This window comes from Homo sapiens, chromosome 15, assembly GCF_000001405.40.
Source record: "Homo sapiens chromosome 15, GRCh38.p14 Primary Assembly".
NCBI lineage: Eukaryota > Metazoa > Chordata > Mammalia > Primates > Hominidae > Homo > Homo sapiens.
In genome coordinates this window covers 34,400,596-34,425,439 of record NC_000015.10, presented here as the reverse complement: position 1 = coordinate 34,425,439, position 24,844 = coordinate 34,400,596, and the positions used below count along the sequence as shown (strand labels likewise).

At 46.6% G+C, this 24,844-nt stretch overlaps 1 protein-coding gene and 1 pseudogene across 14 annotated transcripts in view, besides 2 other annotated features; one reads left to right on the top strand and one right to left on the bottom strand.

Annotated features, from left to right (window-relative positions):
• Window positions 1–24,844, top strand: part of GOLGA8A (golgin A8 family member A) — a 58,741-nt gene that overhangs the window by 12,369 nt on the left and 21,528 nt on the right. For 7 of the 14 annotated variants that reach the window (NR_164784.1, NR_027409.2, NM_001368072.2 and 4 more), the window contains 4 exons: window positions 17,705–17,916; window positions 18,570–18,766; window positions 20,385–20,523; window positions 24,681–24,728. The gene's annotated coding sequence lies outside the window, so the exon portion shown is untranslated. Of the gene's footprint in view, window positions 1–17,704; window positions 17,917–18,027; window positions 18,171–18,569; window positions 19,394–20,384; window positions 20,524–24,680; window positions 24,729–24,844 lie in introns of those variants that run through there. The other 7 variants (XM_047432258.1, XM_047432256.1, XM_047432262.1 and 4 more) reach the window with 5 other exon arrangements.
• Window positions 6,186–6,686: an enhancer, noted in NCBI's record as "H3K4me1 hESC enhancer chr15:34710955-34711455 (GRCh37/hg19 assembly coordinates)". NCBI's record gives its function as "activates a minimal SCP1, AML or CMV promoter by ChIP-STARR-seq in primed H9 embryonic stem cells {active_cell/tissue: H9 hESC(primed)}" and the evidence as "EXISTENCE:reporter gene assay evidence [ECO:0000049][PMID:30033119]".
• Window positions 6,687–7,187: an enhancer, noted in NCBI's record as "H3K4me1 hESC enhancer chr15:34710454-34710954 (GRCh37/hg19 assembly coordinates)". NCBI's record gives its function as "activates a minimal SCP1, AML or CMV promoter by ChIP-STARR-seq in primed H9 embryonic stem cells {active_cell/tissue: H9 hESC(primed)}" and the evidence as "EXISTENCE:reporter gene assay evidence [ECO:0000049][PMID:30033119]".
• On the bottom strand, window positions 14,790–15,886 carry LOC100422491 (amyloid beta precursor protein binding family A member 2 pseudogene; annotated as a pseudogene).

The window sequence follows — 24,844 nt, the reverse complement described above, 5'->3', positions numbered from 1 at the left end:
AAAATGTATTTTAGATACGGTGTGATTTGTGGATGTAGTTTTTTTTTTTTTATAGGATTCCAACCTAATTTCCTAGTCAGCCACTTTGACCTCTCTGTTTTGGCAGGTTTGTCATGGGTTAAGTAGCTGCTGTGTTCTGAGTGTTTCTCCTGTGTTTCTGGATTCTCCATTCTAATTTACTGCTTTATTGTTGTGCCACTATCTACCGTGTAAGTTACGGTGGCTTTTGGTAAGACTTAGTTATCTTAAAGGGCCATTACCTCTTCATTCCTCTTCTTTTTTCATTCTCCGCCAACCTTTCTCCTATATTCCTTTGAATAGATAAGCCTTATTTTATTTATTTTATTTATTTTTTGAGACTGTCTTACTTTGTCACCCAGGCTGGATTGCAGCGGTGCGAACACGGCTCATTGCAGCCTTGACTTCCTGGTCTCAAGTGATCCTCCCACCTCAGCCTCCCAAGTAGCGGGGTCCACCACGCCTGGCTAATTTTTGTGTTTTTTGTAGAGGTGGGGTTTTTCCAAGTTTCCCAGGCTGGTCTTGAACTGCTGAGCTTAAGTGATCCTCTTGCCTTGGCCTCCCAAAGTTCTGGGATTACAGGCATGAGCCACCCTACCCGGCCGCTAGATAAACTTTAGAATAAACTAAATTCATCCCATATTCTGATTGGGATTTTGATTAAGGTTGCTCTGTGGGTTTTATGGTGGGGGTTGGGGGTGGGGAGAGGAGAGAGCTTTTGTATTTTCTTCTCATCCAGATTTTGATTTATGTAAAAAGTCCTTTGCCTCCATCACTGGAGCTTCATTGCTTTATTCATGCATGTTTGTGCGTCTCTCACTTCTGCTGCTGTTGTCACTGGGATCATCCCCTCCTCTTGCCTTGTTTTCTAGCTGATCATGGCTGGTCTGTAGAAAAGTTGTTGCCTTTTAAATTTGTGGACTGCCTGCCCACCTTGCTTCAGTCTCTCTGGTGATGTAAATGGTTTGTCATTCTTCCTCTCGTATTTTTTTATTGGAGAATCATTTGCCATCGTCGACCTTTCTTTTTTGTTATTTATGCCTTTTGTTATGGGGTCCATCGTGGAGGGGTGTTTGATACTAGTCCACTCTGCGATCCCTGGGGCCCTCCTCAGGAGGGCCTTTCTGCTTCATGGTCAGTGGGTTGGCTCTTTGACTGGGGGTCCCTGTAGCTCAGCAGTCCCCAGGGCAGCCGCTGTGTCACAGAGTGGAAGCAGGCCGGTGGACAGTTTAAGTGAGTTTTTTTCCCTGTGTGGCTGGGCAAGCTGGAGGAGAGGGGTCTTAGGGAGTGGTTTCTCCAGGCAAGGGCAGTGGTCTGGCGGGGGCTGTCACATGGGTACTCACCCATGGGGGCCTTAGAGGATGTGGCTTTCTCTGCTGCTTGGCCTCAGGCAGGGGGCTCAGAGGGTCTCCTCAGGTGCTATCAGTGGCTGTGGTGGTGGCAATGTCTGGGACCCATGCCAGCAAGCTGGCAGCCGCTGGTAGCCTCAGCTGCTTCCTCCAAACGTGAGGACCCCCAGGCAGTGGTGGTGGCCCCCTGGGTGCACAGGCAGATGAGGGGGTAGGGAGAAGAGGGTAGGGCACAGCCCTGGTTCTCAAAGCAGGTGGTGGGGCCAGCATGTGTGACTCAGTGGCCAAAGGGTCCATGGAGGTGGACCAAACTGGTTGAGGGGAGCCCCCACCCTGACTGTGCCAGGAGGTGCTGCCCGTGCCACCAAATTTCCACTGGGACCCATGGCCCCAGGGGAGGCCCTGGAGTCTGTGAAGCTCAGGGTCATCCTCAGTTGTTCCCTGTCATTTATGTTCTAGCGTTGACCTTGCAGTGTCCGCCCTGCAGGAGCTGCCAGTTGCTGTGAGTTCCTCGTGCTTCCTTGTGACAAGTGGTAGGGAGTGGCTACTGCTAGGTTAGATTTTGTTATTTTGCACATCATAGACTTTTTACACTAGTTTCCATCATTTTCATTTAGTCTTTGTTCAGGGTGTTAACAGCTATCAATACCAGCTAACAATGTGTTTATGGTGATGGGCATCATTTTCTCATCTTATGAGATAAAGCAGCCAACCTAGTGCCTTTTGCATGAAGGTACTGATGCTCGGGGCTTGGGACTGATGGGTGGGTGTTGCCAGGAATTCAGCCTCTTCCAACAGGAGCTGCAGGGTGGCGTGATGTGGCCCCATGTTGCCCTGTGGTGGTAGGGCAGGGGAGTGGCGCCCAGAGGCATGGGGGTGGTCAGCTTTCCAGGAAGGTGATCCAGGCCCAGGAAGGTTCGAAGTGTGATGGAGGGGAGAGGGAGAGGAGAGGGAGCCTACCGGGAGGCGTGGGTCCAAGGCCTGGGTGTTTGTTAGTTTGTCGTCTTCCCATCTGCTAGGCATCCGTTCTCTGTTGCGGTCCCCAAATGCCCCATTTCTGGCTTCATTCAGACGCAGTTCCTCTGCTCAGTGGAAGTGGAAGAGGTGGAACAGTTGTCTGTGCTGTCTTCAGAGCCGGTGGAGGCGGAGCTCGGCCAGCGTGTCACAGCCTAGTGGAAGAGCAACTAGCAAGAGAACCCGCTCTTCCCTGTGGCTCCTAGACACCTTGGTTGGAGGGTTGGCCAGGAGCAGGAGCAGGAAGAGCACTGTGGACAGAGCTGGCTCCTGGGACATGGGAGGCCTGTAGAATGCCTGCAGAATCAGCATGAGAGAGAGAGAGCGAGAGCGAGAGAGAGCGCACAAGCGCACGAGCGCGAGCGTACACAAGGCCAAGTAGCAGGCATGGCAGAGGGGAGATTCCAACCCCCTTCTGACTCTGGGGCCTATGAACTTAACCATCCAGTGGCAGGGCCTCTCAGCTGGAAATCAGTCACATGCTTCCCAGAAGGTATTTTTATGAGTCAATATACTTGACTTTGGGAATTGGCTATAAAGAGAAAATTTACTACGGGATTAAAGAAGTGTGTACTGGATTAATCTGGCAACCTCTTTTCTTTTTGAGACGGGATCTCACTATGTTGCTCAGACTGGAGTGCAGTGGTGTGATCTTGGCTCACTGCAGCCTTGACCACTTGAGCTCAAGTGATCCTCTCACCTCAGCCTCCAGAGTAGCTGGGATCACAGGCACGTGCCTCCATATCCAGCTGACTTATAAATGTTTCCTAGAGATGGGGTTTCACCATGTTGCCCAGGCTGATCTCGAACTCCTCTGCCTCCCAAAGTTGGCAACTTCTGAATGTGCTGCTCAGAGCTGCCTGTTTGCCAATGAACCAGGAATATGTTTTATACGTGAGGTTAATTTCATGTAGATAGAACACTGCTACAGGAGGCGGGGTGGGGTGATGTCAGAGAGCACTGGACAGATAATGAAGACGTCCCCTCGTCGCAGTCAAGCTGACCTCTTTTGGGGCTGTCGCCAGCTCAGTGGTGTCCACCTGCTGTCTGCAGTCTGAGAATCGGGGTGTCCTAAGCTCTCTCCAGCTCTGAAATCTTTAACTGTCTACTGGGTGTATTTGTCTGGAACCTTGCCTCCTGTCTCTGTGGTTCTGCATGTTGCCGGGTGTTTCTCAGGGACACCTGACTTTCCTGAGGGTCCCCAGCCCTGGTGGGAGAAGAGGTTGTGTGACGTCTGACACCCGGGAATTGGTGGGTCTCCATTATCTGAGGAGGGTGTACTTCCCAGGTTAGCTGGGCATGAGTTGAGTTTCAGTCGTATCCTTCCTTCCAGTTTGGGATGGGTTCTGAAATTTGTATTGCGAGTGATGAAAAAGGGGTAAGTGGCTTTTCATCTCAGTGGGGTTAGCTTTGTCGTGGACCCCTGAGCTGAGAGATGGCATGATTAGAAGTCCAGTGCCTCAACCCATGCAGTCTTCTTGAGGACTTACTTGTATCATTGTGTGTTGCTTGAAAACGAGTAATCTGTACGTTAACTTTTAGGATTCTTGGTGTGGGTGGGTTTAATATCAGCCCGTGTGCGTCATTTCCTGGGTATCACTGAGGAATGGCTCTTTGATTTTCAATTTTAAACCCTTATCTTGCCACAGTCAGTCTTTTATACAGAGCAGAGTGCTGGAGATGGGCTGCAATGACAGTGTTCCTAATGGGATGGGTTTTATTTCGAGTGAGTGGACTGTGACAACTTTTGGGTACCTTCATGTGACTCTTCTCACAATAGCCGATTTTCTTGTCGTTTAATGGAAAATTAGTAGCTGAAGCCTGTTTCACGTCTCTGCCCCCGTGGTGGCCTGGGCAGACCCTGGCTCATCTCCCAGAGCAAATGTCAGACAGGCCAGCCACAGCCCAAGGAAGTGGGGGCAAAGGGGGCGCCCCAGTGTGATCTCGAGGGCCCATGTGGTTTTGTATGGAGGGCAGAGTTGTTGTGCTGTTGGCTTTTCAGCAGGAGCCAGGCAGAGCAGCTGTCCGTGGGCTGCCCTGTTGGCCAGGGATGTTGACCAGGATGTGGAAGGAATCAGGCGGTTGCCCCCGGCGGGATGGTCATTGCGGTGTCTCTGCACCTAAGTGATTTGTTTTCACAGACATCAATGCTCAGTATTGATCAACCTCAGGATCATCAATGCTTGGAAAGGGTAGAGCTTGTGTCCCATCAGAGATGTGACTCCGAATCTGTGGGTACTCTCCCCAGGCTGACTCATAAAATGAATGGGCACCTGAGCCACTCCGTGTGATGCTGAAAACCGGGAGCACTCGGGTGACGCTTTCAGCCATGAAGTCTGCCTTTCCTCAGGGGAGTGGCCGCCGATGGTGTGTTTTCTATTTGAAGCAACTCTAAAGGGTCCCACCCAAGTTTCAGAAAGAAACTCAGGTTCTTGACATATGCAGGGGGAACCCTTTCATTTCTAAAATCTGTTAAAAATTTTACTATTGCTGAAAATATCCTCTTACGCATTTGCAGTGACACCTCCATCCTCACTGCAGTGACCCGTGAGTGCAGGCCTGTGCCCGTGACCTGGCTGGACCCTGGGGTTTTCCTGCGCCGCTGGCCCTGAGCTGCTTGTGCTGTCAACAGGGCAGCCCTCCGGGTCTGGATAAGAGGTTCTGCGTGCTCCTTACAGTTCAAAGCAGGCTTGGGCCATCTTCCCTGCCTGCTGCCTTGTCCTCCAGTAGTAAATCACGCCCCTGTCACTCCCTGATGAAGCCACTCCACTGAGATTGTTGATTTTACACTGAGGCTTCTCTTTGTGATACCCCAGGCTCGTGGTTACCCGATGGAGGAAAACTTCTGGGAGAATCGGCTGGTGAGATGCCTGACACCGCTCTCCTGGCATCTGACATCAAGGATATCTTAATTTTCTTAGTTTTTAAAAATTATGGTAAATACACAAAAGATGAAATTTACCATCTGAAATACTTCTACGTGTATGATTCTGTGGCATTAAATACACTCACAGTGTTGTGCAGCCATCACCACCATCCATCTCCAGAACTTTCTTCATCTTGCAATCTGAAACTCTGTGTCCGCTAACTCCCCTTTCCGCCTCCCCCAGCCCCTGGCAGCCACCATTCTACTTTCTGTCTCTGAATTTGACGACTCCAGGTGCCACATGTGAGTGAAATCATACAATCATTTGTCTTTTTCCAACTGGCTTCTTTGACTTAGCGTGACGTTCTCAAGGCCCACCTGTGTTGTAGCGTGCGTCAGAACTTCCTTCCTTCTTAGGGCTAACTACTGTCCCCATTGTATGGGTAGGCCACACTTTGTTTGCCGTTCATCCCTCAGACATCAAGAATATCTCACATAGTAGAAAGAGTCAAAGAATCCAATGAGGGCTTCATCTTGGCCACTCATGCTCTCTGTAGCTCCACCCTCTGCAAGGGCTGGGTGGACAGCCCGAAGCTACCTGCTTATCCTGCATTGAGCAGACGGGCCTGGTGCCGGGCGCAGAGGATGCAAACTGGAGCAGGAGCCAGTTCCTGCCCTCAAAGTGCACAGCAACATGCACTCCAGCCTGGGCAACAAGAGAGAAACTCCGTCTCAGAAAAAAAAGAAAGAAAGAAAGAAAGAAAGAAACGGGAGCTGGGGAGAGGGGGCCTGGAGACGGGAGTCCCACATGGCCCTGCCCTCCGTACCTGGCTGAGCAACGCTTTCCAGTTCTTTTCCAGGGTTGTGGATGAGGCCCCACTGCCTGCGAAGAGAGGCCCTGATAAACCATCTGTTGCTTTGTTAAAGAGGGGACACCTTATCAATGATTCACGTTTCCTTCATTTTAAGCATGAAGAAATTAATCCAAGGGCCGGGCGCGGTGGCTCAAGCCTGTATTCCCAGCACTTTGGGAGGCCGAGGCGGGTGGATCACCTGAGGTCAGGAGTTCGAGACCAGCCTGGCCAACATGGGGAAACCCTGTCTCTACAAAAATACAAAAATTAGCCAGGCGTGGTGGCGGACGCCTGTAATCCCTGCTACTAGGGAGGCTGAGGCCACAGAATTGCTTGAACCTGGGAGGCGGAGGTTGCAGTGAGCCAAGATCACACCATTGCACTCCAGCCTGGGCGACAAGAGTGAGACTCCGTCTCAAAAAAAAAAAAAAAAAGAGAAATGGATCTAAGAGGCTGACCTGGCAGCTGGAAATTCTTCCTCCCCACAGCACCTGTTGGGAACTGGGGCTAAACTCAACCGCCTTCTCCGTAGCCCCTGCCACCCACCCGGCTCTCACCTGAACCATGGGCACAGGCCGTCCTGCTCCCGGTTTTCCAGCCCCTTAATTCATCCCTCAAGGCCACAAGGAAGCAAGGAAGACGTTTCTTAACCACAAATGTGCCATGTGTTTGTGCCAAGCCCTGTCTTGGCTCCCGTCACCTACAGGGTGGAGTCCAGACTCCGTGGCATGACACAGGAAGTCCTCCCACATCTGGTCTCTGCCCACCTCTCTGCCTTCTTCCTATAATTTAGCCTTGCCAGCTCAAAGCTGGCCCCAAAGACCTCACACCCTTTTCCTTGGAACTTCTCATCTCTCCCTACACACTTGCAAAAGTACCTGCAGAAAAAATCTTGTAAAACAATCAAGACCATAACATTCACATACCTTCTATTTGGTCAGTGCAGAGACACAGATCTTTGTTCCGAAATTTGCATTTAAATGGAAAGCTTCAGAGCCTGAAAACATCTAAAATTATACCCAGGACTGACAACTGGCCTAGACTCAATGTCTTTGGAATTTGCTCTACTAAATTTGCTACCGTTTGAATGTGTTCCCTCCAAAACTCAGCTGTTTCTAATGTGAATATGATGCAAAAAGTGAAAACCTTATACATCTTTACAGCAGCCTAGAAGTAAAGATGAAGCAATCCTTTTTTTTTTTTTTTTTAAAGAATCTACAGTTACTACAACTAACTGAAAAAGTGGGAAATCTGGAGACCAACACATAGAAGAAGAAAAATGGCAGTCAAAGACTCACTCTCCAAATTGGACATTTATTTAAACCAGGGTTTCTCAGCCTCAGCGATGTGTATATACTGGGCCAGACAATTTGTGGAGGGTTCTCCTGTGTGTTGTAGGACGTTTAGTAACACCCCCTCTACCCAAGAGATGCCAATAGCACCTCCCATCATGACCAGTTGTGACAACCGAAAATGTCTCCAGATTATTTCCAAACATCCCATGGGGGGCAAAAATCTCCTTCAGTTGAAAATTACTGTGTAAACTAGAGCTACATCCTAGATCTTAGAAAAACATGTAAGCTTCCCAAGTCAGCCCTGCATACCATTGGTACGGAAATGAAATAAGAGCCTAGAAGGAAGGAAACAAAACTATAATCTTATTTAATATAAAAGTAAAAATGCAAAAATAAAACACTACCGTATGCATTCTAACAGTGTTTATTATAGAAATACAAGGATGATTCAAAATTAGGAAAATTTCATCAGGTAATTCACAGATTATATTTCTACATAGAATTGAAGGCACAATCATGAAAAACAAAGTAGCTCTTTATGCTTTAAGTCCATGGTCTATTCTGTGAAAAACACAGGTTGCAGGTGTCTTACAGAAGGAAAACTGAACACTGAACACGTATTTCTCCCATCTGCTCTTTTTCCTGAGGCTCCATGGGAATTACAGTGAAGAATAAAGATTGTATAAACACACACAATTACAAAAAAAAAGGGATGGGGTTACCAAGAGAAGAGAATTCACCTCCAATAGACAATGACAGTAAATGGGAAATGGTTAATTAATGAAGCAAAGCAAACAAAGGTGGAGGTTAGGGGGATACCGATAACAAGGAGGCTAATTTGTCCCACAGTACCCTGCAGAGGCACTAGACTCCGACACCAGGTACCCCGGAGAGTGGGACTGATAGGCAAGACTGAAAACAGATTAACCAAAAGCCTACATACAGAACACATTTTCCAGGCCCTGAAACACATTGTTCTCCCACATTTCCTTAAGCAGAACCCCAGCAAACATGTATCTACCTCAGGCAAGAGAACGTAGATTTCACCTCCAGAGGAATGGAGTAGTTCCTGCCATCATTTATGATTGCGCAAAGAGATAAGATAGAGGGGTGGGGATAACAATTGGGAATCAGCATAAATTCCCCCTAAAAACCCTTTCCCCTAAAAGCTATCAGTTGACAAGTCTTGGCCAGAAAGAACTCCCAAACTTCTTTTTTATTTATTTATTTATTTATTTATTTTTTGAGACAATGTCTCACTCTTTCGCCCAGGCTGGAATGCAGTGGCATGATCATAGCTCACTGCAGCCTCAATCTCCTGGGCTTAAGCAGTCCTCCCACCTCAGCCTCCTGAGTAGCTGGGACTACAGGCGGGCACCACCACATCCGGCTAATTTTTATTTTTTCTAGAGATGGGGGTCTCACTGTGTTGCCCAGGCTAGTCTTGAGCTCCTGGGCTCAAGTGATCCTCCCACCTCAGCCTCCCAAAGCACTGAGATTATAGATGTGAGCTACCACACCCAGCCTCCCAGTCAGTCTTTTAGTCCTTCTCTCAAATATGAATGAACAAAAGGGGGCATTTTAAAAAAGATGACAAATGATGAGCAACATAGAATAGATATTTTGGGAAAGGCTTTTGAAAGAAAACTAAGACCAAAATAAACTAAGAAAAAAATTATTAAAGAAAAAAGACCTGCTAGGGAGAGGACAAAAGAGTATCAAAATAGCTCCTTAAAGACACTTGTGAATATATTACATCTATAAAACAAAACATAAAATATGAATAAGGAGTAATCAGAGAAGAAAAAGTTCTCAGAACTCAGGCTTCATCTTTGGAGTTGGTCCCCAATGAGCCACAACTCCTGTCATTCAGGTCCTCGGAAGGGCCCATTCCACAGTGAATCAAGGTTGGCTCCGAGACTTCCTTTAACCTATAGAATGTGGTAGAAATGAAACTGGACCTGTTCTAGGTCTAAGCCTTAAGAACATCTGACAGCTTGCACTTTTGTGCTTCTGGAAGCCAAAAAGAAGAACTGACTATCCTCTTGGAGAAAGAGAAGCTACATGAAGAGGGCCAAGAGTATGAGATGCTATGTAGAAAGGCCACATGAAGAAACACCAAGGCAGCAGACCTGTGGGTGAAGAAGCCGTCTCAGACGTTCCACTGCAGCTGAGCATCCAGACGACCAGTCCCTGACACTGTCTAACTGCACAGTGAGAGCTGCCAAATGAGACCAGCAGAAAAACTGTCCAGCTAGCCCATTAACCCATACAATAGTGAGAGAGAGACAAATTTGCCGTTTTATGCCATTAAGTTTTGGGATAATTGGTTAAGCAACAATAAATAGCCAAAACAAAACTTAAAGTTACGACTAGCCAAATAAAATTTCCCAAAAGCTTGTATACACATGGTCACAGCAGCAGAATTCACATTAATCAAAAGGTAGAAACAACTCAAATGTCCCTCAGTGGATGAATGGATAAATGAAACTTAATATAGCCCTTCAGCTGCAGTGAGCCGAGATCACACCACTGCACTCCAGCCTGGGCGACGAGTGAAACTCCATCTCAAAAAGTAAAAATGAAAATAAAAACATAGCCATTCAGTGGAATATCATTCAGCCACAGAAATGAACGAAGTACTGACACGTGCTACAACAGGGATGAACCCTGAAAACATTATGTTGGTGAAATAAGCCAGACACTAAAGGGCACATATTGTCTGATCCCGTCTTTATGGAATATCCGGAATAGGCAAATCCAAAGTGAGAAAACAGATTTTTCATTGTGGGGGCTGCGGGGAGAGGGAAGAATGAGGAGTGACTGCTTAATAAGTACAGGGTCTCCTCTGGGGGCAGTGAAAATGTTCTGGAACTAAATATCAGAGGTGGTTGCACAACATTGTACTAAATGCCACTGAATTGTACACTTTAAAGTGGTAAACTTTATGTTACAAGTGTATTACTACAATTTAAAAATAATGGGAGAAGCAAGAGTAAGGAGAGCCCTCTAAGGGTCTCAAACATACTGCCCTGTGAGAGCCCCTTCACCTAAGCTCTACGGAGGTCACCCGCCAGCTTGTACTGCGCTAACCCTCCAGTGACTGACACCCAGGCAAAGTGGGAGATGACCCAGGAAGGGGCTGGGTCAACCAGGCAGCAGAGGCAGCTGCCCATCAACCACTGACACCCCCTTCTCCTGGTCACCTGCCTCACATACCAGGTGCCACTCTGGGTCCGTTTGTAGGGAAGGTGGAAGCTCCGCCGCTTACAGCCCCCAGAGCTGCAGAACTAGGGAGAATTCCATTTGGTTTTGTTCAGTTCTCAAATGAGAAAATCTTCACCAACCCTTTGTAATACCATTGCTTAGGGGCCAGCATGGCTGGTTCTTCATGTTTGCTGCAAACACCTGCAATTTTTCCATCCTGCTAACTTAAAAGCAAGAAGCCCTGTGTGCATAGTTTAATGACAGCAACCTAGTGGGGCTAAAAATCATTCACGTGGCTCTATCGAAGGCTCAAGCCTGCAGTTCTCGCAGGAGGCTTGACCTGTGACCTCTCCTGTATTCACCCAGTGGCCTCCACACTCGGCCTCGAGCCCTGCACACATTCTGAGAAAACTAGCTTGACATCTGAAAAATGAATGTAACGATGGTGCCCAAGCCAGAAGGAAATTAAATGACCAATAGTAAGTCAGCATTAGATTTCAGTTTCCAGAGGGCATTTTCTACAGTATTTAACTTCCACTCATTTACACAGGCCAGATCTCTGTTCTCCTAATACGGGGAGTCCACAGTTCCGGTCAATAAGATTAGTCCTAATAAGAAAAAAACTGAGTTAGTCTCAATGGAACTGCCTAAGGCTACAGACATTAAAACAAAGGCCTACAACTCATAATTTGCAAAACAAGTTTCACCAGATGATCTATAAAGAAGATACCAATGATCCAGTTAACTTCACTAAATCTACCTGTCTACTTTTAGGAATATACACAGTAGAATATCTGGGATATTTAAACTTGTGGAAAAGGTGAAAGGATAGCAGAAATCGCTGTTATTTGATAGTGGATTTAACGATATCTGTTTATTTTAATGACACTCACAAGGCATGACCACAGTCACTTTACTATAAGCCACAACCTGTAGGATCTGTGTTCCTTCCACTCCTGCCAAGGTGGGATCATGACCCATACAAGACCTAGGAGAGAAGGGGAGGCTCCCCCACTCCCACTCAGGATGTGGTTGTATTATTTACTCATGGCTCATTTTGGTCTTGAATGTCCTCCTGAAACCTCCCAGGGATGTGCCCACCCACCGCCCCACGACCACACACGCCAGGTCCGCAGGTCCACAGGCCTGAATGGGTGTAATCACAGCTCATCCCTACTGTGGCTACATCAAAATAGTTTTGATTTGGCCCAAAATGTTTTTGCTTCTTTGTGGGTGATACAGTTTGGATATTTGTCCCCACCTCAATCTCATATTGAAATGCAATCCCCAATGCTGGTGGTGGGGCCTGGTGGGAGGTAAGTGTCTGGATCATGGGGCAAATCTCTCATGAATGACTTGGGCCATCCTCTTGGTGATAGGTGAACTCTTGCTCTGAGTTCACAAGAGATCTGGCTGTTTACAAGTGTGTAGCACGCCCCCTGCACAGCCCCCTGATCAATCAATCTCTCTCTCTCTCCCCCATTCTCACCACGTGAAGTGCTAGAACAGCCTAATCCAGTATGATTCTGGCTACATGGGTTCAGCCTGGCTCAACTTAGCTTTAGAGGGTCCAAATTGGCTCGAGCCCGTTCATCATCCAAAAACCTTTTATTTCTTATTTCTTTTATTGTGGTAAATATACATAATGTAAAATTTATCATCTTAACCATTTTTAGGTGTAGAGTTCAGTGGCATTAAGTACATTCACACTGTTGTGCCGTCTTCACCACCATGCATCTCCAGAACTTTTCCATCTTCACAACGGAACCTCTGCACCCATTAAACACCAGCTCCCCACTCCCTGCTCTCTCCAGCCCCTGGCCACCCGCATTCTACTTCCTGTCTCTGTGACTCTACTGTGGGTGCCTCAGAGAAGTGGAATCACACAGTACTTGTCCTTTTGTGACTGGCTCTAGCAGGATGTCCTCAAGGTTTATCCATATTGTAGCCTGTGTCAGAATTTCCTTCCCTTTTCAGGGTGAATGAAATTCTATTGCATGTGAAATCCTTTTCTTTTGTACCGTGTTCGCTATGCCAGCGGCTCAGAAGAGCAAGAGGAGCCCTGACCCGCCACTGCTTTGTCTGTGGAGTGGGTTTTGAGGGCTGGGGAATGGCTGGATGACCCCCCTCTCTTGAAGATGAACACAAATATTTCTAAAAGTGGCTAGCATGCTATTGTTCACATATTTGGGACCCAATGAATGAATCAAGAGGGGGCAGACAGGCTCCAGAGGCAGAATCAGAGGCCACCTGCAAGCAGATGAGCCGAAGGACAGAGGCTGATGAGACGAGGGTAAATGAGTGATGCCGCCACACACAGCAACAGCCTCCACCCTGATGTCGCACCCGAGCAGCTCTTGGGGAGCGATGTCTCCCCACCTTAAGTCCAGCTCAGGCTCCCTGACGTGCACAGCCTGGCTGCACCCAGAGCAGACCCGGTGGGCCACCCATGGGGCAGACCCAGAAGTGAGTCAGCACCCAGTGTCTCTTAAAAGGCCCAGTGTCTCTTCAAGGCTGAGTGCGGTGGCTAACACCTGTAACCCCAGCATTTTGGGAGGCTGAGGTGGGTGGATCACCTGAGGTCAGGAGTTCTAGACCAGCCTGGCCAACATGGTGAGACCCTGTCTCTACAAAAATATGAAAATTAGCCGAGCATGATTGCGGGTGCCTGTAATCCCAGCTACTCGGGAGGTTGAGACAGAAGAACTGCTTGAGCCCGGGAGGCAGAGATTGCAGTGAGCTGAGATCACGCCATTGCACTCCAGCCTGGGCAACACAGCAAGACTCCATCTCAAAAAAAAAAAAAAAAAAACCCAGGACCAGACAGAAGCCTGGACCACAGGCAGCTGTTGACACTGCAGGAGTGGAACAGCTTCTATGAGCCTAGCCCAAACATCCTTCAGCTACAACAGTTTGGGCCTTGGCTTGGTCTCAGCTGGAGAGAGATCACCTTCTCTTCTCTGAAGGTTGACTGGGGAGTTGGGGGCAGACGTGGGTGTGGCAGGTCTTGGAGGCCTCTATAAGGCCAGGGGGCTCCATTTCATTCCACATCTCCTTTCTGCACATGTCTGAGTTGTGCGTAGTTTTCCTGAGCTGCTCATGGTATTATGTGACATAGGATTAGGAGTTATTCTTGGTCAGCCCCCTATTACCATAGTCCCTTGGGGTAAAATTCCCATGCCTGCCATCACCATAGGACTTCCTATGCATCCCACAGCCCCCTGTAAACACAGAATTGCTGTGAATGACAGGAACAGCCCCAAAGTGAAGTCAACTGACACAATGTGTTCTAGAGAGAAGACAAGACATTAAGATACAAGTGCTGAAAATCCAGGAGTCAATATGATTTCCATTCCAAACCCAAGCTCTCAGTACACAGACACACACACACACACACACACACACACACACACATTCATGAATTCTTCTCAGAAAAAAATAGTAGTTAAAGCTTTAAAAAATATGAAAGCAGTCCACATAATTGGCCAAATAGAAGTTCCTTCACCCGAGTCCAATAATCACATCTTCTATAATATATACTCACAGTGAGGCTTTTTTTTGGAAGGCGGCTTTTCAAATGTGTTTATTAGAATGCACGCTGACTTTGCTATAATTAAAATACAGTTATGCTGACATCCACTGCCCTCATTAGCATGCGTTTCTTCCCCGAGGTTTTGTCACACCGTCAAAAAATCCTTTTCCAAATAGGTATTCACAGCTGATTGCCCGTCAGGCCAAGGCCCCCCAGCTTTCAGACACCCGTCCATTGTGAAATGCACTCTGGCCCCGACCCCAGCCACCAGGCCACCCAACACTGGCCGCAGCAGTGGGTGAGCACCAGCACCCCCACGTCTTTGCCACTGCCCTGCTGGTCTGAGTACACCCCTGAGGATTGAGGGGCTCTCCCACACATACTGCCCCACCATGAGCAGACCCAGGGCAGTGGGCAAGAAATTGAACCTGTCTTCTAGGGTGGGAGGAGGGGTGTCTTCTGCGAGACACGAGTTGCCCCTCAGCCCTCAACCGGCTTTAGTCCTGAGTCTGAGCGGTGAGCTTAAGAGTGGCCGGAGCATCCACGCAACATGTCTCCCAACTGGACCAATGAAGAGCTCAGCCACCATTAGAACTGTAAGGCACCCAGCACCCCCCACCGCCTCGCTTCAGCATCTGCGAGGCCTGTACCCTGAGGTCCCTTGCTCTAGGGCCCCTCTGCTCCCTTCCCCGGGACAGCTAGAGTCCTACCTGCTCGTGAGGCCACTTCAGCCTCTCTTCTGGGGTCTGGTCTTGGACTTGAAGCCTCTCTGGGGGTCTCCGGGGTGCTTGGCCTCGGGAAGGAGGTTCAGCGACTTGGGCCTCGCCTCTTGCCTGCTGGGGCTGCAGCTGGCCTTGATGGGTGGGCAGCCCTCTGCAGAGTCCGCAGGCCCTGGCTCAGGTCCATGCTCGGGGATGGCCTCACTGGTGCTGGTGATGCTGGTCATACTCAAGCTTATCTTGATCTCTGCCACGATCTGGTCGATGTCCTCCTCCTGGTCCTCCAGGTCCCCGTCCCCGCACCTCAGGGGGTAGGCAGAAGCGCTGGTGTTCCCGTTAGCCTCCACAGGGTAGTAGTCCTGGTAGCCCTCTTTGCTGGGACAGTAGTGACCGTCTTCTTCCTGGTCGTGGGCCTCCAGGACGGAGGACACATCCTCCGTGATGGGCAGTTGGCCATCAGGGTAGTCCTGGCTACCTTTAGCCCCGTGACCATGGGGGTGCAGGCCCGCCCAGGCCGTCCAGTCCACTGCATCCTGGCACCCGTCAGTGTCCATAGGATGCGCGCCGTGGGCCAGGTACACCTGCCCATTGCAGTCCATGCCCTCCAGGTAGCTTTGGTCCTCAGGGCAGTAGCGGATGTAGTAGGGGATGCCCTCCTCCTCCTCAGGGAGGCCCTCATCATAGTCGTCCTCCTCAGAGGTGTCGTTCACGTAGTCGGAACTGGAGTCCCCATCGGGGCTGTGGTTGTGGCACTCCTGCTTCTTGGGCGTGGGGCTCTCTGGCCGCAGGGTGACCAGCTCCAGGCCCTCGGGCACATAGTCCTCCAAGGGCAGCTCCACGTCCTCGCTCTCGGGCTCCTGGTGGTGGGGGACAGGACCCGGCCTTGCCCTGTGGTCCAACATGCTGCTCCCCGCGCTCTGACGCTTCTGGTGGGCCATGGTAGACGCTTCCGGTGGGCCATGGTAGACTCTTCTGGTGGGGCATGGCGGGCGCTCACACAGCCATCATTCCCCAGAGGCAGCCACTGTGTGGAGGAACATTGGCAAGGACAGAGTCAGAACCCCACAAAGCCTGGCCACGTGTGGGGCCACTCCACCGCCACAGCACCTCCAACCACGTTCTCCCACAGCACTGTGAAAAATGATAGCTGAAGATTTTCATTGCCGCAATCTCTTAAAAAACTGGAAACAACCTAAGTACCCATAAATAAGAGAATGTTTAAAAAAATGACGGCAGAGTTCACGTGCTGGAAGAGTTGGTGGCATTTTTAAAGAGGCAGGGCAACACGTACTACAGTGAGGGATTTTACAGGCCTATTTTTGAGGGAAAATGGCAAGTGAGCTACAGCAAGCGCACGTGTGTAGATCCCAGTTACAGGTCCGTCAAGATGTCTAGAGAATACACACACCGCCCAGCCCATACATACACGCAAAGGCACACAGAAAGGGGAAACCCCTCAAAGGCTTGTCAGCCACGTCCTCTGGGGAGGGGAGGGGGGAGAGAGGTGGGAGGGGGGAGAGAGGTGGGAGGGGAGAGAGAGGTGGGAGCAGAGGGGGCCTGGACATTTTACTTTATTAAAGATGTATGTAGTGGTTGAGTGTTTCACCAAAACGCATTTAATATTCACCTGCATTATAATCAAATCCACCTGTGCACCTTTGAGGGTCTCCTCTTCTAGCTGGGGAGATATCAGCACTGAGACAAAACAACCTGTGGGGAAGGGCAGACAGCGAAGGGAGGAAGCAGGACTTCCCCCGTGGGCTGCTGCTCTGGGCATCAGGAGAGGTGACAAACAAGCTGGTCTCCTCTAGGAAGGCAGCCACTGGAGCAGAGGAGCCAGCCTCCCACAAGATCAGGACATGAGCACGCCACAGGGCACAGCCAGAGACACCTGAGACACAGGAGGCGGTGCTGACCCAAGGGAGGGCAGGACCGGGGGATGTGCCGGCCAGGACAGCCAGGGGTGCACAGGCAGGCAGTATTAATTTGGGGAAAACTAAATCATTCGGTTTCATTCAATGAGTAGTTTGCATGCAAATGTGTGTGGCGGGGGTGTGTGGTGTGTTCATGAGATACAGTGTGTGTGGTGTGTATGTGGTAAATGTGTAGTATGGTGTGGGTGTGTGGTGTTTGTGTGTGTATGGTGGTGGGACGTCCTGGAGGGTGTGGTGTGTGGAGTGTACTGTGTATGGTGTGTGGTATGTGGTGTGGTGTGATGTGAATGTGATATGTGCGTGTGGTGTGTGTGGAGTGTGATGTGTGGTGTGTGTGGAGTGTAATGTAGTGTGGAAGGCTTGAGCGTGTATGTATGTTTTGTGTGCGTGGTGTAGTGTTTGTGGTGTGTGATATGTATGCAGTGTGTGTAATGTGTGTGGTTGGTGTGTGGTGTGTATGGGGTATGTGTGTGGTGTGTATGAGGTGGGCATGGTATGTGTGTGGTGCATGTACGTATGCACACACATGCACACATGTGCACTGCAGGTGACAGGCAGACCGGCAGCTGGGACATGCAGCGGTGATCAGCTCAGCCAGGGCAGGGCTCAGGGTGAGAGTGGCCAGGCCCCTGGCAGCTCAGGACCCTGGATGAGAGTCCAGGAGGAAAGAACAAGCTGTGTCCCCATCTCCACCCAAGTTCATCACTAACATGAACCTATAGTCTGCACTGAAACTGTTCCACTTCTGATTAGAATCAGAAACACTTCCAGACAGGCTCAGCACAGCCAAGTGGGGACTGTCCTACAACGACACGGTGTAGCGGTGGGCAAAGGAATCATGGCAGCAGCTACCTTTTGTTTTTTAAAATGTGAAACCTTTCTGAATGGCTTAAGCAACATCTATTTAATTTAACAGCTCTACTGAGATGAAGAAAGAAAAAGAATACCTGCTCAGCTCCAGAGACACGTAAAGGGACAGAGATTGGGGGACAGAAGGAAGTGCATTAATTCCTTCCACGACCCCTGAAGAGCAGCGGTGGGTCTGAGCATCCTATCTCCAGGAAGCAGGCCAGCAGGCAAGCCAGCTGCCACCTCGTCCTGTGCAAAGCACAGGCACCGTCCCCAAAAGTAGGCAAATGACTATCTTATTTGTTCAGGGGAAGCAAAATGGTCCAGGGTTGGTAGCCGCGTTTTTTTCCCAACAAGACCTAACTGCTGTCATCTTTCTCTGGGACCCAGACTCCGTGAATAGAGGGAAAGGCGGCCAGCAGAACCCAAACTGTTCTGCCACAGGCTCCTCCCCACAGAGCACAGCTCAGTGCAACAGAGTCCCCAAATCCAAGATGCAGAATCCACAAAGAGAAAACCTTCTGCTCCAGAAGGTACTTACAGGAAGTCAAAATTAAAAACACATCTTCTTATGGTTCTTTTTTTCTAACATAATCCATTATTTCTTACTGCAAAACCTAGATGTTTACCATTTGTAACCAGAAATAGTTTCTCATAAAACAATCATAAAATGTAAGTTATTCAGTGACCCATCTCTCTGGAAAAGAATAACACAGTATGAAATTGAGGTATTGCCCCAAAAATCAAGACGATGGGCCCTGAAACTCTAAATACTTGAATTTTTAAGTAACTTCATATCAAGCCCATTTAATAGAAACTATGTCAAGCAGACACACTATTAGAACTGATACGAAAGTAAAATTTCAAACTGACACAGCTGTATCAAAAAAATATATAAATGAAAAGAGAAAAATTGCTTCATTGCCTTTTAGGATTTCCAAAGATGATGTTAAACCCAGCCACGGTTCTGATCTCCAGGAAAGCAATTGCTGTGGTACAAAAGGACAAGGGTTAAAAGAGAACAGTGGGAGCTCTCTTTCCCAGCTAACTCACGCAGTGTGACGCAGAGGCTTTCAGCACAGCCCAGGGTGCCCGGGACTGAAAACTCCTTCACCAGCCCCCTCCACAGGTGGGAAATACTCGGATCTTCATTCTTGTGACACAAGACCTTGAAAGTTGCTGAAAAATGCTAGTCCCGTCTGACTGGGGCAGCATTTTCATTTATTGCACACCATTGGGTTTTTTTGTTTGTTTGTTTTTGTGGCTTTATTTGTTTATTTTTTTTGAGATGGAGTTTTACTCTGTTGGCCAGCCTGGAGTGCAGTGGCACAATCTTTGCTCACTGCAACCTCTGCCTCCCAGGTTCAAGCAATTCTCCTGCCTCAGCCTCCCGAGTAGCTGGGATTACAGGTGCGTGCCACCACGCCCGGCTAATTTTTGTATTTTTTTAGTAGAGACAGAGTGTCACCATGTTGGCCAGGCTAGTCTTGAACTCCTGACCTCAAGTGACCCACCCACCTCGGCCTCCCAAAGTGCTGGGATTACAAGCTTGAGCCACTATGCCCAACCACCATTAAGATTTTGGCAGGAATCATTGTGCTAGACACCACTATCCCACCAATCACTGAGCACTTTTCATTTCCTGCCGCTGGTGCTGTTGGATACCTTACGGCAAGCTGCCGTCCCTGCCCACCCACCTGAGGACAGGAACCTCCAACTCTGCCTTGCCAGAACTGACCAGTGTGTCTGACAGATGGTGAGTCCTTTGCTGTACATGGCCCTCAAAAAAATGAGACAATTCTTTCACTCAGACCAAAGCAAGCAAATGCTGAAAGACCTTATAATGAAACATCACATTCCCCAATCTGGACTTCCCCACTCCGCTGGCCAACTTTGTCGTTTCTGATTTTAATTCTACTGGTGATTATTTTCCACCTCTCTAAATAATTTTTGAACTCTCTTTCTGGGTATATCAACTTCGGATACTATTGATTGGCGTCCCATTATGAGAGGTGAGCTTTGCAGACCACAACCTCCCAGGCTCTGATGCAAGTGAACAGAGGATGGCACCAGCTACTGCAGTTATGCAGAGGGGCTTTCCATTCTTAGCAAGAGCACTGGGATAAAAGAGATCCTTCCAAGAGCTCCCACCTAACTGTGGGAACACAGAAGCATCCTTTAAAAGCCCTGTGGTCACACAGCCTTCAGCATGCATACAGGCTCTTTTCTTAACTTTATAAAGCCCCAGATAGGCTGGTACTAACATGGTGCAACCCTGTCTCTACTAAAAATATACACAAATTAGCTGGGCGTGGTGATGGGTGTCTGAAATCCCAGCTACTCAGGAGACTGAGGCACGAGAATCACTTGAACCTGGGAGGCAGAGTTTGTAGTGAGCAGAGATCACCCCTGTATACGCCCACCTGGGTGACAGAGTGAGACTCTGTTTTAAAAAAGGAAATAAAAATTAAAGAAGTAAATAAATAAATGATGGCTTATTTCTTAATAGTTATGACTTTGTAAAGCTTTGAAATCTGCTTTACCCAGAGTGTAGCTTTTAAATAAAATGTAGGATATAGAAGGTGGGAGCCTCTTGAATGGAATGTGGGGGCTTTTCCTCTCTCCCCGTAGGATAGATATATTCTGTTTCTTGTCCCCCATTGAGTCAAGAATAATTTAACTTTTGGCATAAGAAACTGCTGAAGAAAAATAGGTTGAATAAGCTAACATTTTTCTTCTTTTTGCAGGATATAGAAGACTTAGATCACTACGAGATGAAAGCAGAGCCCATTAGTGGGAAAAAGTTGGAGGATGAAGGAATTGAAAAAGAAAATTTGGCAATATTAGAGAAATTAGGAAGACTGAAAGACAAGAGCATTTAACTGCGTAAGTGTGTATAAATAGCTAGAGCCTGGATTTTTGTTTAAGTAATTATAGTTAATCCCAGGCAATTCATGAACATGCCAATCTCAGCTGCTCTCCTCCATTCCTGCCTTAGTGGTAGATTCAGTCACATGTTTATTGGTTTTGAGACAGGGTCTTGCTCTGTCGCCTGGGCTAGAGTGCGGTGGCACAATCATAGTTCACTGAAGCCTTGATCTCCCGGGCTCCAGTGATCCTCCTGCCTCACCCTCCCAAGTGTCTTGGACTATGGGCATGAGCCACCACACCAGGCTGATTTTTTAGATTTTTAGTAGAGATGGGGTCTCACTATGTTGATCATGCTGGTCTTGAACACCTGAGTTCACGCGATCCTCCTACCTCAGCCTGCCAAAGTGCTGGGATTACAGGCATGAGCCACCGTCCCTAGCCACGGTCATATGTTCTCTTGCCCAAGGTTATCTTTCTCATCTATGAACAGCCACTTTTTACCCTGTTCATCTGCTGTTCACATCCTGGAACCACCTGCTGATCCCTGTATATGCCCCTTTCCAGCCTGTTTATGCTGTTTTCTCTGCTTACTTTCCTTCTGTGGCATCTGTATATTCACATTCATTCTCTCCTACAAAACACAACTCAAATTATTTCTCCTTCGTGAAGGTGACTTTGGTCCATCCTGCTCTGACCAAATCAAAACTAATTCTTCTCTTTTGACTTAACATCTCTTTTATGTGAAGTGGCAGGATGTGAAAGGAACACTGAGTGTGGTGACAAACACACCTTTTTTGGTTTCACTTTGCTCAACTCTAAAGTATGGATAGATAGTACATACCTTTTGGATGACTGCTGTGAAAAATCAATGAGAATGATGTGTGTGTATACATGAAATGCTCAGACAGAGTAGGGAAACGTCAGATGATTGTCTGAACACTTACTACTTCCTGCCTTGTATTAGAGCTATTTACCAACTCCATGAAAGCCGAGGACCAGTTACTTTGTCTTGGGCACAGGTTCTCCAAAACAGGGAATGAATTGTTAGGCAAGTAGATGCCAAGTGTTGAAACCAGATAGATTACTCTCCCTCCTTCAGTCTTAGTTATATATTAATTTAATTAGTAATTTTTCCCAGAGGAAAGAAATTTAGTCCATTTCTCATATCTTATTTAAAAAACTGAGTTTGTAGCATTTGAAATAATGTTACTGTACTTTCCGTGTCTTGTGATCGATTCCAGTTTGAGTTATCTTCAAAACAAGTATAAATTATTGAACACTTTTGCATGACCGATACTATGTTAAGTACTTTATACTTTATAGATGCTCTCATTTAGTCTTCATAGCCGCTGTGTGAAATAGGTGCTCTTCATAGTTTAGAGATAGGAGAAACTTCTCATATTTTATAGATAGGAAATGAGGTCATGGTTACATATCTAGGAAGTGAGATCTTCGTAAACTTGATTTTTTTTCTTTTTCAAAGTATAGTGCAGTCTTTAAAACCTTTAGTTTCACATGACTAAAAAGTAGTTCCATTTCTACTTAGTCTTAGGATAAGATATCGATGTGTTTTCATCTTTAGAGAAGTCCCCACACTGAAAAACTGAAACCAGTTGCATGTAGGTACACGTGTTTCTCAGTGTGTCAATGTGTGAACTAGACCATCTGTGTAATATTCTTGCTTGTAGTCTTATGAATGGAAGTCTCTCTTAGTCAGTAATGTGTCACCTTGAGTGTCTTCTAGCATTTTCAAAAATTGCTGGGGTTTGGAATAGACTCATACTAAATTCTGTGCTATCATGGAGTCCATGGTGGTCTGAACATGTTGGCTAGAGTTTTTCAGATGATAAGAAATAGGAAACGAACCAGACTTGTGTCTAGTTTTATATTCTCTTGAAACTTCATAATGCTTCATTTAATTGGACTTTTTTTTTTTTTTTTTTACTTCTTGAAATGTTGAGTGTTGGAAATGTTTTTATAGGTCCATCGAAATTTTTTTGTCATTTTCTTGATAGAGTGAACTCTTGCTTGATTTTTATCTTCTAGGAAAAAGCTCAAGCTTGAATAATATTGGTTGGAAAGTAAACAAGAGTAATATATTTCATTATACAGAGAATGATTGCCAAGTTGATTTTTATGACTTTTCCCCCAGTTTTGAAAGCAATATAATTAACTCTTATTGTAGATGTAGTTATGTTATTACTTTTAAAATACGTCGGTGTAGTACACCTGTAGTACAAGCTACTATGGATGGTGGGAGGCTGAGGCAGGAAGATCTTTTGAGCTTGGAGACGTTAAGGCTGCACATGAGCTGTGATTGCACCATTATATTCCACCCTGGGTGAGAGAGCGAGACACCTTGTCTCTTAAAACAAACAAACAAACAAACAAACGAAAAGGGAGTGGGGGATGGGAGTCATATTAGAAATCTATATATAGGACAGTTGTGGAAAAATACCGATTTTTTAGTGATTTAACTTTTCATAGTTCCGTCCATGGCAAATTGTTCTCCTTGAACTGCTTGACTAATAATACAAGTTTAGGAAAGCATATTAAACTTCTTTTGAATTCTTGAGAAAATTATATACATGTGACTGTTTTCCTTTAGAATGACTGCAAACTCTGAACCCCCTTATTAGATTAGATTTAGGCTATTATGATCTCTTTTGGACATTCATTCTAAAGGAGCTGGAAGCTATAGTGACCTCTGTTTTTCCTGAGGATATAGAGCAGCTTAAGATCTTCTCTTTCTTGAACTTACCCTAGGTGCTCTATTTTAGCTTTCAGATTGGTTCATTTTTGAGTTAGTTGAAAAAAAAATATCTTTTTGTTTGAACTGTTTTTTGTTTTGTGATTCTTCGGGTTGACCCTGCTAGTCCTTTGCACAGTGATCTTCAGATCTTAAAAGAAAAAGAAGGCATAGGAGATACTTTGCTTAACTTATCTTTTAAGGTAATAAAATTGTTACGGGACTCTGTTTTTCTAATGGGAGTGTATATTTGTACAAGTGTTTTGGAAAACAATTTGGTAAAGTGGAAGATACTCATACACTATGGTTCAGGAATCTTGTGGATATATACTCCACAAGAAATGAGTACATAGGCACCAGGAGACACCGGAATGTTCAGAGTAGCATCATGTATCATAACCCCAAACAGAAAGTAACCCAGGTGTTCATTCCAAGAAAATGAAGAATTGTGGTATTCATAAAATGGCTTACAGCTATGTGGGAAAGATGGACGAACCTTGAACACTATGTTAAGCGAAAGAGACCAGAGCCCCAAAACCTATTTTGTACAATTTCCTCTATATAGAGTTCAACAATAGGGAAAACTAATGTTGGTTAGGGCATACATTCTTAGTGGAGGCAATATCGCCTGCAGTGGAGTGAAAATTGGTCCTTAGAGTGAAAGAAAATCTTACCTATTATAATGGTCTGCTGCCCTCCAAAGGGCCGTATAACATAAACCGACATACAGTATATCTGTGGTGTTAAAATTCCATGGGGAGTGGGGATAGAATTAGGAAGAAAACTTCTAAAAAGGCTTCTTAGGGGGACAAAAGTGAAAAGAAAACAGAGAAACACTTATTTCTGGATTCATACTTGGGCAGTAAAACTATTAAGAACAAAGAGGTGATCACATAGAGGTTAGGGGAAGGAGTCCATCCAGGTGGGAGGTAGGGATGTGTGACCTGAAAGGGACATCTGTGGGCTTCTTGGATACTGGCTGGAATATATTTCAGGACCAGGTTGGTGGTTACATGGGCAAATAATTTACAATAACTTGTTAAGGTATACCTTCAGGTATATTTTATGTAACTTTCTGAATGTATGTGTTATATTTAATAAAGTATTTTTAAGATACTGAAAATAAAGGTTACAAAGGAATAACGATGGAATCTAGAAGAAATGTTAGTGATCTAGAAGAAATGTTAATGGAATCTAGATAAGATGTAATGGTTTAAAATCTATGGCTATATGCGGTATTTTGATGAAAAAAACAGACATAAAAGAATACTTTCTTGTACTTACTCTAAGGATGGTAGTAGTTTTCTAAAAGCTTCGTACTTAGCTTTTTGTGTGTATATTTTTGCTTGTGGATATATCTTATGATTGAACTTTCTTGATATGACCCTAATGTCAGTATTTTCTCTCACTTTTGTTATCATAGAAACTGTTGTCGTTGTCAACTGGGTTGTCTTCCTGAAGTATGAATCCGGTATGTATTGCCTGAATTTGCTAATGGCTACTTCTTTATGGATTCATACGGGGTAACGAATAAAGCACGCAGGCCTAAAACAAAAAAAACAAAACACAAAAAAACTAGGAAGGTAT